At 40.9% G+C, this 14587-nt stretch overlaps 1 long non-coding RNA gene across 10 annotated transcripts in view, besides 1 other annotated feature; it reads right to left on the reverse strand.

Annotated features, from left to right (window-relative positions):
• The window catches only part of LOC105375864 (uncharacterized), a 79123-nt gene that overhangs the window by 26817 nt on the left and 37719 nt on the right, over positions 1 to 14587 (reverse strand). For 9 of the 10 annotated variants that reach the window (XR_007060920.1, XR_007060921.1, XR_007060919.1 and 6 more), the window contains 2 exons: positions 13321 to 13387; positions 10245 to 10877 (listed from right to left, as the gene is read on the reverse strand). This is a non-coding gene — a long non-coding RNA (uncharacterized LOC105375864). Of the gene's footprint in view, positions 1 to 10244; positions 10878 to 13320; positions 13388 to 14587 lie in introns of those variants that run through there. The other variant, XR_001745925.1, reaches the window with a different exon arrangement.
• Positions 14284 to 14399: a transcriptional cis regulatory region, noted in NCBI's record as "candidate enhancer chr8.1768 targeted for multiplex CRISPR interference". NCBI's record gives its function as "positively regulates CA8 gene expression in K562 cells {active_cell/tissue: K562}" and the evidence as "EXISTENCE:mutant phenotype evidence [ECO:0000015][PMID:30612741]".

Below are 14587 nucleotides of genomic sequence, written 5' to 3' on the forward strand. Positions count from 1 at the left end.
CAGGTGCTCAGTGGGGGAGCTTCTGAGCCAGGAGAAGGAATTTCACAAGGTTAATTGCTCAGTTAAGGTGGGGCAGGAACAAATCACAATGGTGGAATGTCATCAGTTAAGGCAGGAACCAGCCATTTTTACTTCTTTTGTGATTCTTCACTTTCTTCAGGCCATCTGGATGCATTCGTGCAGGTCACAAGGGATATGATGGCTTAGCTTGGGCTCAGAGGCCTGACACTTAGGGCTTTTGTTTTGTTTTGTTTTGTTTTTTGAGATGGAGTCTCACTCCTGTCACGCAGGCTGGAGTGCAACAGCGTGATCTCGGCTCACTGCAACCTCCATCTCTGGGTTCAAGTGATTCTCCTTCCTCACCTCCTGAGTAGCTGGGATTACAGGCATGCACCACCATGCCCGGATAATTTTTGTATTTTTAGTAGAGATGGGATTTCGCCATGTTGGCCAGGCTGGTCTTGAACTCCTGACCTCAGGAGATCCACCCACCTCAGCCTCCCAAAGTGCTAGGATTACAGGGGTGAGCCACCACGCCCAGCCAAGGGCTCTTTTTTCCTTAATGTAAATGTGCACAAAGACCATATTATTTTGGCAAGTAGAGGTGCCATAAAACCTACAGACTGCTCAAAAGGGGGTCATTCTCCTTGTTTTCTCATCATTCTTAGATTGTTTCCCATTTTTTTTCTTTCTTTTTTTTTTTTTTTAAGGGAGGAACTGAGCTATGGTCCATGGTTTTTGTGTGGTGGATCAACATGTGCTGCTTGTGGGCAGGACTCCACAGTGTGTCACCACTGAGTAGTTTCAACCCTTTTATATGTCTCAGTTTCTCCCTCCAGAGGTCTGTGACCTCAGAGAGGGCTCAAAACACCAGATGATTAGCCCTTACATGTGTTACCTAGATGAGCCATTTATAAAATTAATTTTTGTTGGGGATTCCCTTGCAGGGCTGCTGCACGTCATGGGGTGGTCAACCTCCCAGACACTCCCATGGGGCCCCCGGTCACCCAGGGAAGCCTTTCAGCTGGAAGGAGCAAAATGCCCCTTCTCTTCAGGGCTAAGAAAACTCAGTCTCTCATTAACATATCAAAACAACAGTTTAGTTCCTCATGCAAATGCACACAGACAAACTCAATTAAGATTAAAAATTTGGGACAAAAAGCAATAGAGAAGACCTTTCAAATGCATCTCCAAACTAGAATTAGGATCCTTAAACAACAACTTTAAATGGGAACAAACAACAAAGCCCCAACAACATGATCACTGAACCCTCTAATGGTAAGGAGAAATTCATGTTACAGGAAAGGGGGCCAGATCCAGGCTCCAAGACAGGGTTCTTGGATCTCGTGCAGGAAAGAATTCAGGGTTAGTCCATAGAGTAACATAAAAGCAAGTTTATTAAGAAAATAAAGGAGTAGGCTGGGCGCAGTGGCTGACACCTGTAATCCCAGCACTCTGGAGGCCAAGGTGGGCAGATCACCTGAGGTCAAGAGTTTGAGACCAGCCTGGCCAATATGGTGAAACCCCGTCTCTACTAAAAATACAAAAATTAGCCAGGTGTAGTGGCACGTGCCTGTAGTCTCAGCTGCTCGGGAGGTTGAGGCAGGAGAATCGCTTGAACCAGGGAGGCAGAAATTGCATGGACCTGAGATCACACCGCTGCATTCTAGCCCAGGTGACAGAGTGAGACTCCATCTCAAAAAAAAAAAGGAAAAAAAAAAAAGAAAGGAGTAGAAGAATGCCTACTCCACAGACAGAGCAGCCCTGAGGGCTGCTGGTTGCCCATTTTTATGGTTATTTCTTCATTATGTGCTAAACAAGGGGTGGATTATTCATGCCTCTCCTTTTTAGATCATATAGGGTAACTTCCTTACATTGCCATGGCATTTACAAACTGTCATGGCACTGATGTGAGTGTAGCAGTGAGGACGATCAGAGGTCACTTTTGTTACCATCTTGGTTTTGGTGGGATTTGACAAGCTTCTTTACTGCAAACTATTTTATCAGCAAGGCCTTTATGATCTGTCTTGTGCTGACCTCCTATCTCATCTTGTGACTTAGAATGCCCAACCATCTGGAAATCCAGCCCAATTGGTCTCAGCCTCATTTTACCCAGCCTCTACTCAAGATGGAGTTGCTCTGGTTCAAATGCCTCTGACATGTAGACCAGTTGGTTGTTAATCTTAACTTTAGCCAAGCTAAACCCTAATTCAGTTACTTATCTAGGAATGGGTTTCAGGCAGAAGACTGCTCTCTACCATCCTAGAAGCAGGAAAAACAACAACAACAACAACACACACACACACACACACACACACACACACTCATCTTCTCTGTTGGAAGTGAGCTTAAACTCCATAAAGGAGTTACCTGCCTTCCCTCATGGGCCCAAGATATTTTCCTTTCACATTCCTATAAAAGATTATATAACTTCTGCTTGAACATTTTCAATGACAGAGAACCCACAAATCAAAACTTCTATTTCTTTTTCTTTTCTTTTTCTTTTTTTTTTTTTTTTTGAGACAGAGTCTCCCTCTGTCACCCAGGCTGAAGTGTTTTAGCATGATCTAGGCTCATTGTAACCTCCACCTCCCAGGTTCAAGTGATCCTCCTGCCTCAGCCTCCCAAGTAGCTGGGATTACAGGTACATGCCACCACGCCCGGCTAATTCTTTTTTTTTTTTCAGTAGAGACAGGGTTTCACTGTGTTGGCCAAGCTGGTCTTGAACTCCTGACCTCAAGTGATCCACCCATCTGAGCCTCCCAAAGTGCTAGGACTACAGGCATGAGCCACCACACCTGGCCCAAAACTCCCATTTCTTAATAAGTTTTTCATATATTAAGATCTGCTTTGCTGTAGCTTCTTACCCCCTCCTACCCCTACCCCCAACCCCGTTTACTCTGGTTCTGACCTCTGGAACTACACAAAATAAGGACAGCGCTTTGCTTCATGACAGTTCTTTAGTATTTTATAACTTGGATCACTGTCCACAGTGCATCTCATCTTTGCCCGGCTGAAAATATTCCTGGTCCTATCGTGTGTCCACATAATATTAATACATAATTTCAAGAGCTTCTGCTCTCCTGGTTACACTCTGGATAAACATTCTTCTCTTCATAATATATCTCACGTAAAAAAATGGTCCAAGTCTTAGAAACAGACCAAAGTGATTCCTGGTGTCCTTTCAGTGGAGGGCAGGACATTGTTAGCAGACCCTCTGGGATTCTCTAATTCCACAGGACGTGCACTTTCAATTGCCTGTGATTGACTAGGCTATTTTACAACTCTGTTGGAATAGGGTTTAAGTTATAGAAAATGGATAACGATGCAAATGTTTCCTGCCCATAGCTATGCAAATGATACCCGTGCATGACAATGCAAATGAATTTTGTCTGGCAGAGAATATAAATCTCTGCAAATCAAAATCTCATTTTAAATGGTTTTTAATTAATGAGTTAAATAAAATATTTGACACATTTATTTTATTTTTGTGATTTTACATTTCTGAAAATTATGCTTTTAACCCTCAGGAAACAGGTTCCCAGAACGCAGTGGACCCTTCCTGCTTGCCTGGTGACTCTACGTGTGGTGGGAACTCGAGAGCTTTTTAATAACCTCATTAGCACTATTGACACTTTGAGTACAGAGTGAAACAAAACAATTATTTTCTTCACAGATGATACTGTAGCCAAGTTTCTCATATCTTATGCCTTTATTTTGTAACACGAATGCTAGATTTTTAAATATTTATTTCTTTTAAGTTTAATGTTGAGAATGTGAGCTCATTACTCCAGCCCAAGGAAACAATTGTCCTGTCATTTATGTCTTTATCAAAGAACAAACCAGAATCCAAAACCGCTCAGAACTCAGAGGACTTTGGTAAGCAGAACCTGCTTTCACGGCCGGAATAGGGGAGAGAGAAGGGAGTACAAGGGTTTCTCTGCAGAAGCACAATCCAGCTGAGGCTGATGCAGGTTTGTGGGAAACTTACACAACTGGGGCTGGGAGGCTGTAAGCGGTCCTCTCCAGGAAGAATGGTAGTAACCACAGGAGCATCTCAAACTGGGCCTACTCTATTGATAATAGAATGTCTAAGTACCTTGTAGATATAACAGAGCCAAGACTGCAAGTCATATGGCCCAGGCATGTACAATAGGAAAGATTTGACCTCTGACATCCAAAACCAACAATTCCTCCCCACGGAACCAGGAAGACCAGGACACAACCAGAACCTGAACATCAGAACCATTTCAAAAGCGAGGGGGTCTGACGGCCAGGAAGATCCAGGGCTAAAATCAGCCTCAACGTACCTTACCAAAAATAGTCACATTTGAAGCTCTCCAATCAGACCTTACCACACCAAAATCCTTTCTGCCTTCCAATCCCTTGAAACTTGCCGCAGACTCAAATTTGGGAGACAGATTTCAGCCATGCCTTCTGTGTCAGCCTCTCAATGAATTGTTTTTTATCTCAAAAGCTGGTGCCGTAGTATGGCTTCTAATTACATCAAGCAGTGAGACCATTTGCTCAATAACAGAATAATGCAAAATTGTCCATTTTTCTTTATACAATGTTACACATACTTCACTAAAATTACTCTCCTCAAAATAATATAAAATTAAGAATATAAAATTGCTAGAGCCTCTCCAAGGGCCTTGCAAGGTACCCTGTGAAAGTGATGGGCCCTGAGCATAAGCTTCTTTGGCTTCCCCATTAAGTCTGTCTGAAGGTCTGCTAAGGTGTGTCAGTGCAGAGAACGTCCTCAGTACCTAGGAGTGCGACTTCCTGCCTATCTCACAATTTTCGTGTCATTCATTTCTGTGACTCCCACCTCTTTACAAAAGATATGTAGAAGCTCCATGCACCTACTTTTTGGGGGTGACCACTAATTATTACTACTATTATTATTATTCAGCCCCATGACTTCCTATATTATTCTTAGAGATCACTTGGGAAACTGATTATCTTGATTTTAACAGAATGAAGTTTTCAAAGCTGTTGACCTTTATAAAAATCTAGTCTCCATGCACCTATTTTTTTGGAATCATTTAAAAATTATTCCGAGCTTACTCTGCTTTCCTTTTTAGAGGCCTCATAGATACAGACAAAGAATCTTTGCTTGGCCAAACTCTACTCAGCCTTCTGAATATTCTTCTAGGCCCATCTGTGCACTTCCATGTAAAATCCAGTTTTCGCAAGACCCCTGCTAAGTCAGTTTAGCCTGAATTCACCTTACCCCAGAGATTCCCTCTTGGTAATTTTTCCATTTGCTGACCCCTACCCTGCTCCTTGGCTCTATGGTCCCACTTGCCCATGCTGTACTCAGAGTTGAGCCCAGTCTCTCTCCTTCACTGCAATACCCCATCGCTGTGGTCCCCATACCTATTGCGGTGGACCTGAATAAAGTCTGCCTTACTGTGCTATGACAAGTGTCATTGAATAATTTTTTTCTTTAACAATACCTATTTTCAGATGCCTGAATTTTTTTGGGTTTTTTCCAGAGTAAAACAACAGATGTTGGTGTGGATGCAGAGAAAAGAGAATGCTTATACACTGTTGGTAGAAATGTTAAATCAGTATGACCTCTATGGAAAACAGTATGGAGATTTCTCAAGGAACTAAAAGTAGGACTACCATTCTTCCCAGCAACCCCATGACTGGTTATCTACCCAAAGGAAAATAAATCATTATATAGAGAGACACCCACACTCATATGTTTATGGTGGCACTATTCACAGTAGCAAAGTCATGGAATCAACCTAAATGTCCATCAATGGTTAAATGGATAAAGAAAATGTGTATGTGTACACCATGGAATACTAGACAGCCATAAAAAAGAATGAAATAATGTCCTTTACAGCAACATGGGTGAACCTGAGGTCATTATCCTAAGTGAAATAACTCAGAAACAGAAAATCAAATACTGCATGTTCTCACTTATAAGAGGAAGTTAAACAATGGTATACACGGATATAAAGATGAAAATAATAGATGCTGCAGACCCCAAAAGCAGGGAGAGCAGGAAGGGAGTGAGAATTGGAGAATCACCTATTGTGTACAGTGTTCACTATTTGAGTGATGGGTATACTAGAAGCCCAAACCTCACCATTATGTAATACATCCATGTGACAAACCTGCACATGTACCCCCTGAATCTAAAATAATATTTCTTAAAGATATACAAAAGTATGAATTTTAAATATTATATGCATGGGTCATCACAGAAAAAGAAAGTGAGTACTCGAAAAGCAGTGAGATTTGAAAGCTTATATACTATCTTAAAAGGGTAAGGGGAGGCAGATATAGGTCACGTGGAGAGTAAATGGTATTTAGGAAAGATGAGGGGCAGTAGAAGAAGAGATAGGAGATATGATCGTTTGGGACAACGTTTTTCTGGATTTAGTGTCAACTTCTAGTCTCCTCTGCTGTGAGAAGAGTCAGTCTTCTCTGGTTGATAAAATTTCCTGGAGAGGGGATTTATGACAATTGAGATCCTTTTGGAAGATCTGTCTTTAAGCAGATAAGCAGAGTTCAGAGAAAGCCTCTCCCTGAATTTGCTGTTTTTCAAATGCCTTCAGCTTAAAATAATCAAAGAGTGGCATATTTTTGGGTGGCACATCCCGAATTACTTCATAGTCATATTTTGGGGTAGCATATTCTGTTCTTTAACAATACAAGGAGGAAAATGCATGAGAAAAACAAAGAAATATCTGGGCTTTGAGAAAGATTTGGAAATAATGACAAATCAAATATCTATCCATTTACTTTACAAGCATTTGTTGATCTCCTTCTTGTGCCAGACAATAAACAAATAATTGCACTGCAGGGTTAATAAGCACAAAGCTTATATGCAAAGCTCAGAGGCAGCCTAGAAGTAGGGTTGAGAGAATAGTGGGTTAGAATGTGGAAAAATTGGTCGAATGGGCTTTGGGAATTATTCCGTTGATTATTTAAAGAAGTTCTAGAATTTGTTAATTATGTTACACTTAACTTTGGAAAATATATTTGACCAATGCTTATATGGTGCTTAATTGCTGTGTGCCAGTCACTGTTCTAAGCATTCTATAATTGTTAATTCAATTAACAATCCAATGGGATAGTATTGTTATCATTCCCATTTTATAGATGAGAAAACTGAGTCTCTAAAGGTTTAGAAAGCATGATTCAGGGCCGGGTGCAGTGGCTCACACCTGTAATCCCAGCACTTTGGGAGGCCAAGGCGGGAGGATCACCTGAGGTCAGGAGTTTGAGACCAGCCTGGCCAACATGGTGAAACCCCATCTCTACTAAAAATACTAAAATTAACCAGGCATGGTGGCACGTGCCTACAGTCTCAGCTACTCAGGAGGCTGAAGAAGGAGAATCACTTGAACCCAGGAGGCGGAGGTTGCAGTCAGCCAAGATAGCACCACTGCACTCCAGCCTGAGTGACAGAGTGAGATTCCATCTCAAAAAAAGAAGAAAGAAAGAAAGAAAGATAGAAAGAAAGAAAGAAAGAAAGAAAGAAGGAAGGAAGGAAGGAAGGAAGGAAGGAAGGAAGGAAGGAAGGAAGGAAGGAAGGAAAAAGAAAGAAAGAGAAGGAAAGAAAGAAAGAAAGAAGGAAGGAAGGAAGGAAGGAAGGAAGGAAGGAAGGAAGGAAAGAAAAAGAAAGAAAGAAAGAGAAGGAAAGAAAGAAAGAAAGAAAGAAGGAAGGAAGGAAGGAAAGGAAAGAAAGAAAGAAAGAAAAAGAAAAGAAAGAAAGAAGAAAGTATGATTCAGACGGTAGGTGGTGGAAACAGGATTTAAACCTAGACATTCTAGTATCAGGTTTCATGCTTTCACTGATGTGCTATGCTGCTGTAAGAGCTTGAGTTTTGGCCGGGCGTGGTGGCTCACGCCTGTAATCCCAGCACTTTGGGAGGCCGAGGAGGGCAGATCACAAGGTCAGGAGATCGAGACCATCCTGGCTAACACAGTGAAACCCTGTCTCTACTAAAAAAAATACAAAAAATTAGCCAGGTGTGGTGGCGGGCGCCTGTAGTCCCAGCTACTTGGGAGGCTGAGGCAGGAGAATGGCATGAACCTGGGAGGCAGAGCTTGCAGTGAGCTAAGATCATGCCACTGCACTCCAACCTGGGTGACACTGCAAGACTCCATCTCAAAAAAAAAAAAAAAAAAAAAGCTTGAGTTTTAACCTAACATATTTCTAGGGAAGTGCTTCTAGAACTTTAATATGCATGCAAATCCCTGAGGATCTTGTTAAAAAGCAGATTTGGTTTCAATAGTCTGGCTTGGGGTCTGACGTCCTGCATTTCTAACAAGCTCCCAAGTGACACCTGAAACACCAGTGTTCCAGGAACCATAATTTGAGTTTCAAGGGTCTAGGATCTACAGTAGTTTTATTTTTCTTTTTTAATAAAATATGCTCATTCATAGATTTTTCTCTCCATGTATACTCCTGTGCTTCTGGGAAAATTATGCACAAACTTCACATTCTCATCACCACCATGAGTACTTGTGGCTCTAACCAACACCCTCTAGCATCAGCATATATCTGTAGTAAGAATGTGAATGGAGCAAGGGAGCAGAGTGAGGAAGATTGGTTGAGGTTAGGGAGAGCAGGAAGTCAAGAGAGAGGGGACAGAATCAGGAAAGCAGAAGAAAGAATCCTAAGAGCAGAAACACCCAACTCTTTTGGCAAAGCTGTGAGGCATGTGTATATGTGTGTGTGTACAACCGCTTCTGAGTTCTTATTCCAAAACAGATTGTCCACTTCCATAAACAAAGTATTGTATACATACCTGTTTCTTAGTCCACTGAAAATGTTATTAATAACATCTATGAGGCCCTTGTGACTATCTATGCATCATCACTGGGCATGTATTCATTTCTTCTATGTGGAATACTGAAACTTAAATTGCATTCTCCCTTGACTAAGAGAACTGATTTTTCCACAAGGTCTGTTACTTTACAAACTGCAGTTGTTTGAAAGTTTGATAAATGATTCTATAGTATCCTCATCTTGCCTATCAAATAGGTGGCCTCTCTGTTTCCTGGAGTAATACAAAACTTATCTCCATTCTTTGCCTACAAATAACTTCCAAAGCCTTTGCAGAGAGGAAGAAGTCTTATTTCTTTTGGAGAATTTGAGTCATGGATCACTCTCTCTAAGAAGCCAGTATAGGCTGGTGGGTTATTTCACAATTCATGGCAAATTCCATAAATTTAAATCAAAGAAGATAGTCCCAGCTCAGAATAGCATTTTGATCTAAAAAAATGGTTGCTTTATATTTGCTCCAAATGATATTGTGATAATATCATAGTAGCTAAGGCTCACAGGTGCTCACTTGGAGCCAGCCCTTGCTCTAAGCACTTTGCACATATTAACTTCCTTGTGCCCAAGCATCGTCAGGACTGTTGGCCATGTATTCCCAATTGTTTGGCATTCTAAAACAGCTAACCATTTCTAGTAATTCCAAATAGGGACACATGTTCTTTGGTTCACAATTACAGTCATTATTATCCAATTTTTTATGTGTAAATGGAGGCACAGAGAAGTGAAGCAAATTGCCCGAGATCACACAGCTGGTAAATTTGAGAGCCAGAACCTGAAACTGGGAAGTTGGGATTCAGAGCCAAGCTCTTAACCACCATGTTTTGTTGTTTCTCAAGAGTGAACTATGTCATGAAACTGGAAAAAAGTCCTTATCAAAAAGAGAAACAGTGGATCTCATTAATATGTAAGCTGTGCTTTGAAACCAACAAAGGTGAAATATTTAATGAGTCAGCCAAGAGTTTTACTAGTCAGCTGCGGGAAAATGCAGCCATTGTTTTTGCAAACAAAGTAAGAGCAAAGGTACCATGTGCCTGGCCTCAGCCTCTGCCTGGAAGGAAGGGAACTAGGAGGAAGACCAGAGTCAAGTGGAAAACTAGAGGAAGCGCCCCATCTCTGAGCAGCTTCCACCAGGCACAGTGGCTCATGCCTGTAATCCCAGCACTTTGGGAGGCTGAGGCAGGCGGACCATGAGGTCAGGAGTTTGAGAACAGCCTGGCCAACATAGTGAAACCCTGTCTCTACAAAAAATAAAAAAATTAGCCAAGCGTGGTAGCAGGCGCCTGTAATCCTAGCTACTCAGGAGGCTGAGGCAGGAGAATCGCTTGAACCTGGGAGGCAGAGGTTGCAGCGAGCGGAGATCACGCCACTGCATACCAGCCAGGGTGACAGTGCGATACTCCCTCTCAAAAAAAAAAAAAAAAAAGCAGCTTCATAGGGAATGGAGTGACTGTATTTGAGGAGTCAGGGTGGTTTCTATAAGACAGACAATAAGAGATGGGGATTTGAAACTATAAGAGTTGGATATTTTAGACAGTGAAGGAGGGAAGGTCTGCCCTGGGTAATTTGCCAGGATGAAGCCTTCCCAGCATGTAAATCCTCTGCCTCACTGTGGCCATTTCCCTCATAAACTCTTTTGAATTCCTGTCATGCTAGTAAACAGTAGGCATTCAGTTAATATTGTTCAGAGACAGCTGGTTATTGGATTTTGCTTTAGCCACATTTAGTCAGTGGGAGGTAGGGAGACCAAGCCATGAACTCACAAGGGGATAAAAATAGTGCTCATCTTAGCCATCTATTGCTGTGTAATAAATGACTCCACAATATGGGGGCTTAAACACATTCATCATCTCACAGTTTCTGTGGGTCAAGAGTTTGGGTGCAGCTTGGATGTGCATCCCTGGCTCAGGGTCTCTCACCAAGGCTGTAGACAAAGTGTGGGCTTGGGCAAGGATTGATCTGCTTCCGAGTTCACATGCAGCTGTCAGCAACCTCGGTCCTTGGTGACTTTTGCCGGGAGTCCTCAGTTCCTTTCCACATGGGTCTCTCCACAGCACCAGTTTCCCTTAGAGAGAAAGTGGGGGGTGATGAGCACCAACACAAATCCTGAGTCTTTTTAGGCCTTAATCTTGGAAGAGTCATGCCATCACCTCCCCATTCTATTGGCTAGAAGCGAGTCACAGAAGCTAGCCTACACTCAAGGGGCAAGGAGAGCACAAGGGCGTGCTTACCCTTGGGGCACCTTAGAGGCAAAGGAAGACAGAAGCAGTGGCACAGATTTGATGAAGGAAAAGTCTCATCCAACAGTAAGATTATGATTTTTGATACAGAATCCTTTCTCTACATATCTAAGCCACAAGAAGTCTGTCAATTAAATTATACAAATATACCATAAAATGCAGTGACATTTTCTTCCTATGGGCACCATTTGTTGTCCAATATCTGCAAATGCTGGACAATTTTCCTCCCTGGATGCACCACATGACAGTCAGCATGCCAGGACAGGTGTCCTACTGTTAGGTATGCTACTGGCATTTGGGGCATTTGTGTATATATGGTGATCATTTATCATCCATATTGGACAATTTTAGATTGAAGGGACACTCTAAAACTACCACGATCACAGGCAAACCAAAATGTGTAGTCACCCTCCTTTAGGCCAAGCCAATCTTCAAGGAGTCCCTTCTCCCTGCCCTCCTTCTTTTTCTCTTCTTCAGCCTCCATCTCACTCTGGTTGTTTTTCTTCCCTCATTTACTCCACTCTCTACTCTCTGTACCATCCTTTGTCAGACGGATAGATTGCAAAAATTTTCTCTCACTCTGTAGGTTGTCTGTTCACTCTGAGGATAGTTTCTTTTGCTGTGCAGAAGTGCTTTAGTTTAATTAGACCCCATTTGTCAATTTTTGCTTTGGTTGCAATTGCTTTTGGCATTTTCCATCATGAAATCTTTTCCTGTGCCTATGTCCTGAATGGTATTGCCTAGATTTTCCTTTAGGGTTTTTATAGTTTTTGGGTTTTACATTTAAGTCTTTAATCCATCTTAAGTTAATTTTTGTATAAGGTGTAAGGAAGGGGTCCAGTTTCAATTTTCTGCGTATAGCTAGCCAGCTCTCTCAGCATCATATATTAAATAGGGAATCCTTTCCCCATTGCTTGTTTTTGTCAGGTTTGTCAAAGATCAGATAATTGTAGGTGTATGGTCTTATTTCTGAGTTCTCTATTCTGTTCCATTGGTCTATGTGTCTGTTTTTGTGCCAGTACCATGAGGTTTTGGTTACTGTAGCCTTGTCATATAGTTTGAAGTCAGGTAGCATGATGCCTCCAGCTTTGTTGTTTTTGCTTAGGATATTCTTGGCTATTTGGGCTCTTTTTTGGTTTCAGGTGAATTTCAAAATAGTTTTTTCTAATATTGTGAAGAATGTCAATGGTAGTTTAATGGGAATAGCATTGAATCTATAAATTACTTTGGGTAGTATGGCCATTTTCATGATATTGATTCTTCCTATCCATGAGCATGGAATGGAAGACAAAATGTTAAAAATATGTTTTAATTACCACAGATAGACAGTAGCCAGATTATTGTTAGACAGGTGAAATTAAGGAAACTACATTCACGAACTGAGTTATTCATTAAAATAATGCTGCTGCTTCCTCATTGAAATAACTCGGTTTCCCATTTATTGTTATTCTCTTGTCTTTCTTAGTAAATATCTGTTAACTCATTCTAGGAAAGCATGTATATGAACAGAAGAATATTTTCTTAAAACCGAAAAAGAAATTTCTTGCAATCTTAATAGCAATCATTTCTGGATCCTACACAGAGAAGCAATCCACATGGAAAGTAACAGTTAAAGTTTTTTAATGATCTTGAGAAACCATATGTCTTTTTAACTGTTTAGTCATTCAGGAAAGATGAGCACAAAAGTGTATTTTCTCTTTTTTCTCAACCCATCTAAATTGAATTGGCAACAAATATGAAATCCATTTCTCAGAGCTATTACAGAGTGCATGTACAGTATTATGAAATACAGTCTAGGCTGCTATTAGTTTTGCAGCAAATAAATGTTTCTATCATACAGTCCTTATCAAGAAAATTAAATAAAAGGACTGATAACTGGTGGCTAATATTCTTTCATGAGCCAGCTTTTAAATAGGTCACATTGTTCTTCACTTCATTGGAAACTGAAAATAGCTGCTATATCAGCAATGTTTGTGAAAAATAGCACATTATCTGTAACTGTCTGGGGAGGGGACAGTGTATTTCTTTATAAATTAGACATCTAGTAGAACCATAAAGTTTTAAAATCTGACAGCGGCTTTATAGCTCATATATTGAAGCCCTTCATTTTCGATCTGAGGAAGCAGACATCCAGAAATATTAAGGGACTGTGTAAAACAACTATTTAGTATCAGAATTATGGGTTCAGTAGTTAAAATCTCTATTTCAACTTAAGTACATTTCCTATATTTTTTTCTGAATAAAGACAGTGAGCAAAAAAGCACTTACCCTTAAATTTTTTCTGTAATAAGTATCCTTTATAAGTTTTCAGATTTTATCCCTTGATGAGTCTTAACTGTAATAAAAGTCAATGAATCAAAAACAGAAAAATAAGACAGATAAATAATTTTATATCAGATAAACAACTTTTCTCCCTACTGTCTTTTAAAAGACAGAGAAAGGAATCAGGGAAGGATTCTCTCTACCTGCTCGAAAGGGGCAATATTAGCCTCACTTGGAATGCCTTCCCAGAACCGACAGTCAAGCACACCCAGCCAAAAGCCAGGCTGCAAGAGACACTTTTGAACAAGATCAGATTTTTCTCTAGTGCCAGATTGTCTTTGACCTCTCGGCCACTCATCATTTACTAAATACGTTACAGGTTGTACTTTGTGTATTTCTGGCTTGAAGAGGGCTGAAAGTGAAAGTTTTGTGTCCAGAACACATTAAATCAAGCTCCAATTTAGAACAGCCTTTTTCCTGTCTCCTGCTTGCTGCTAAGGGCCATTTTGAAAAACAAGAAAATGAACAGCTGGAAGGCTAAGCAATTAGTATTTTTTTTCTTTGTACTTGATCTCCTACATCTCAGCTCAAGGACATACAGGGAGACTCTGAGCTCTGCTAAATTAGTAGCTAGTGAAAGTCCCTTGATAAATTAAAAAGAAATGAATTAATAACAGTGCTTTGCAAGGTGAGGCCTGAAGCATCTCTCTGGCAGAGATAGCTTAGGATGACCCAGTTATGATGATAATGAAGGGCTGGATAGGTTGATAGTCCCAACAGAATTTTTAAAAATAGAAGATTGTGTAGAAATGGTAACCCACTTATAAACAACAGGTAACATTTATTGAGCATTAACTGTCTAGCAGACAATGTGCTAAACTATCTTCAAGCATTATCTCGTTTAGCTCATAGAAACCCTGAGAGATAGGTTTGATTAAGTAGTAGCTAAGTAGTAGCATCAGGGATTTGCATTCACTGCAGTCTCACTCCAGAGCTCACACTTTTCACTGCTATGCTATCATTTTGATAAGAAAGACATTTATCAGGCCGGGCGCAGTGGCTCTTATCTGTAATCCCAGCAGTTTGGGAGGCAGAAGTCCGTGGATCACTTGAGGTCAGGAGTTTGAGCCCAACCTAGTCAATGTGGCACAACCCTGTCTCTACCAAAAATACAAAAAAAAAAAAAAAAAAATAGCCAGGCGTGGTGATGTGCACCTGTAGTCCCAGCTACTTGGGAGGTTGAGGCACAAGAATTACTGGAGCTGGGGAGGTA

This window comes from Homo sapiens, chromosome 8, assembly GCF_000001405.40.
Source record: "Homo sapiens chromosome 8, GRCh38.p14 Primary Assembly".
Classification (NCBI taxonomy): Eukaryota; Metazoa; Chordata; class Mammalia; order Primates; family Hominidae; genus Homo; species Homo sapiens.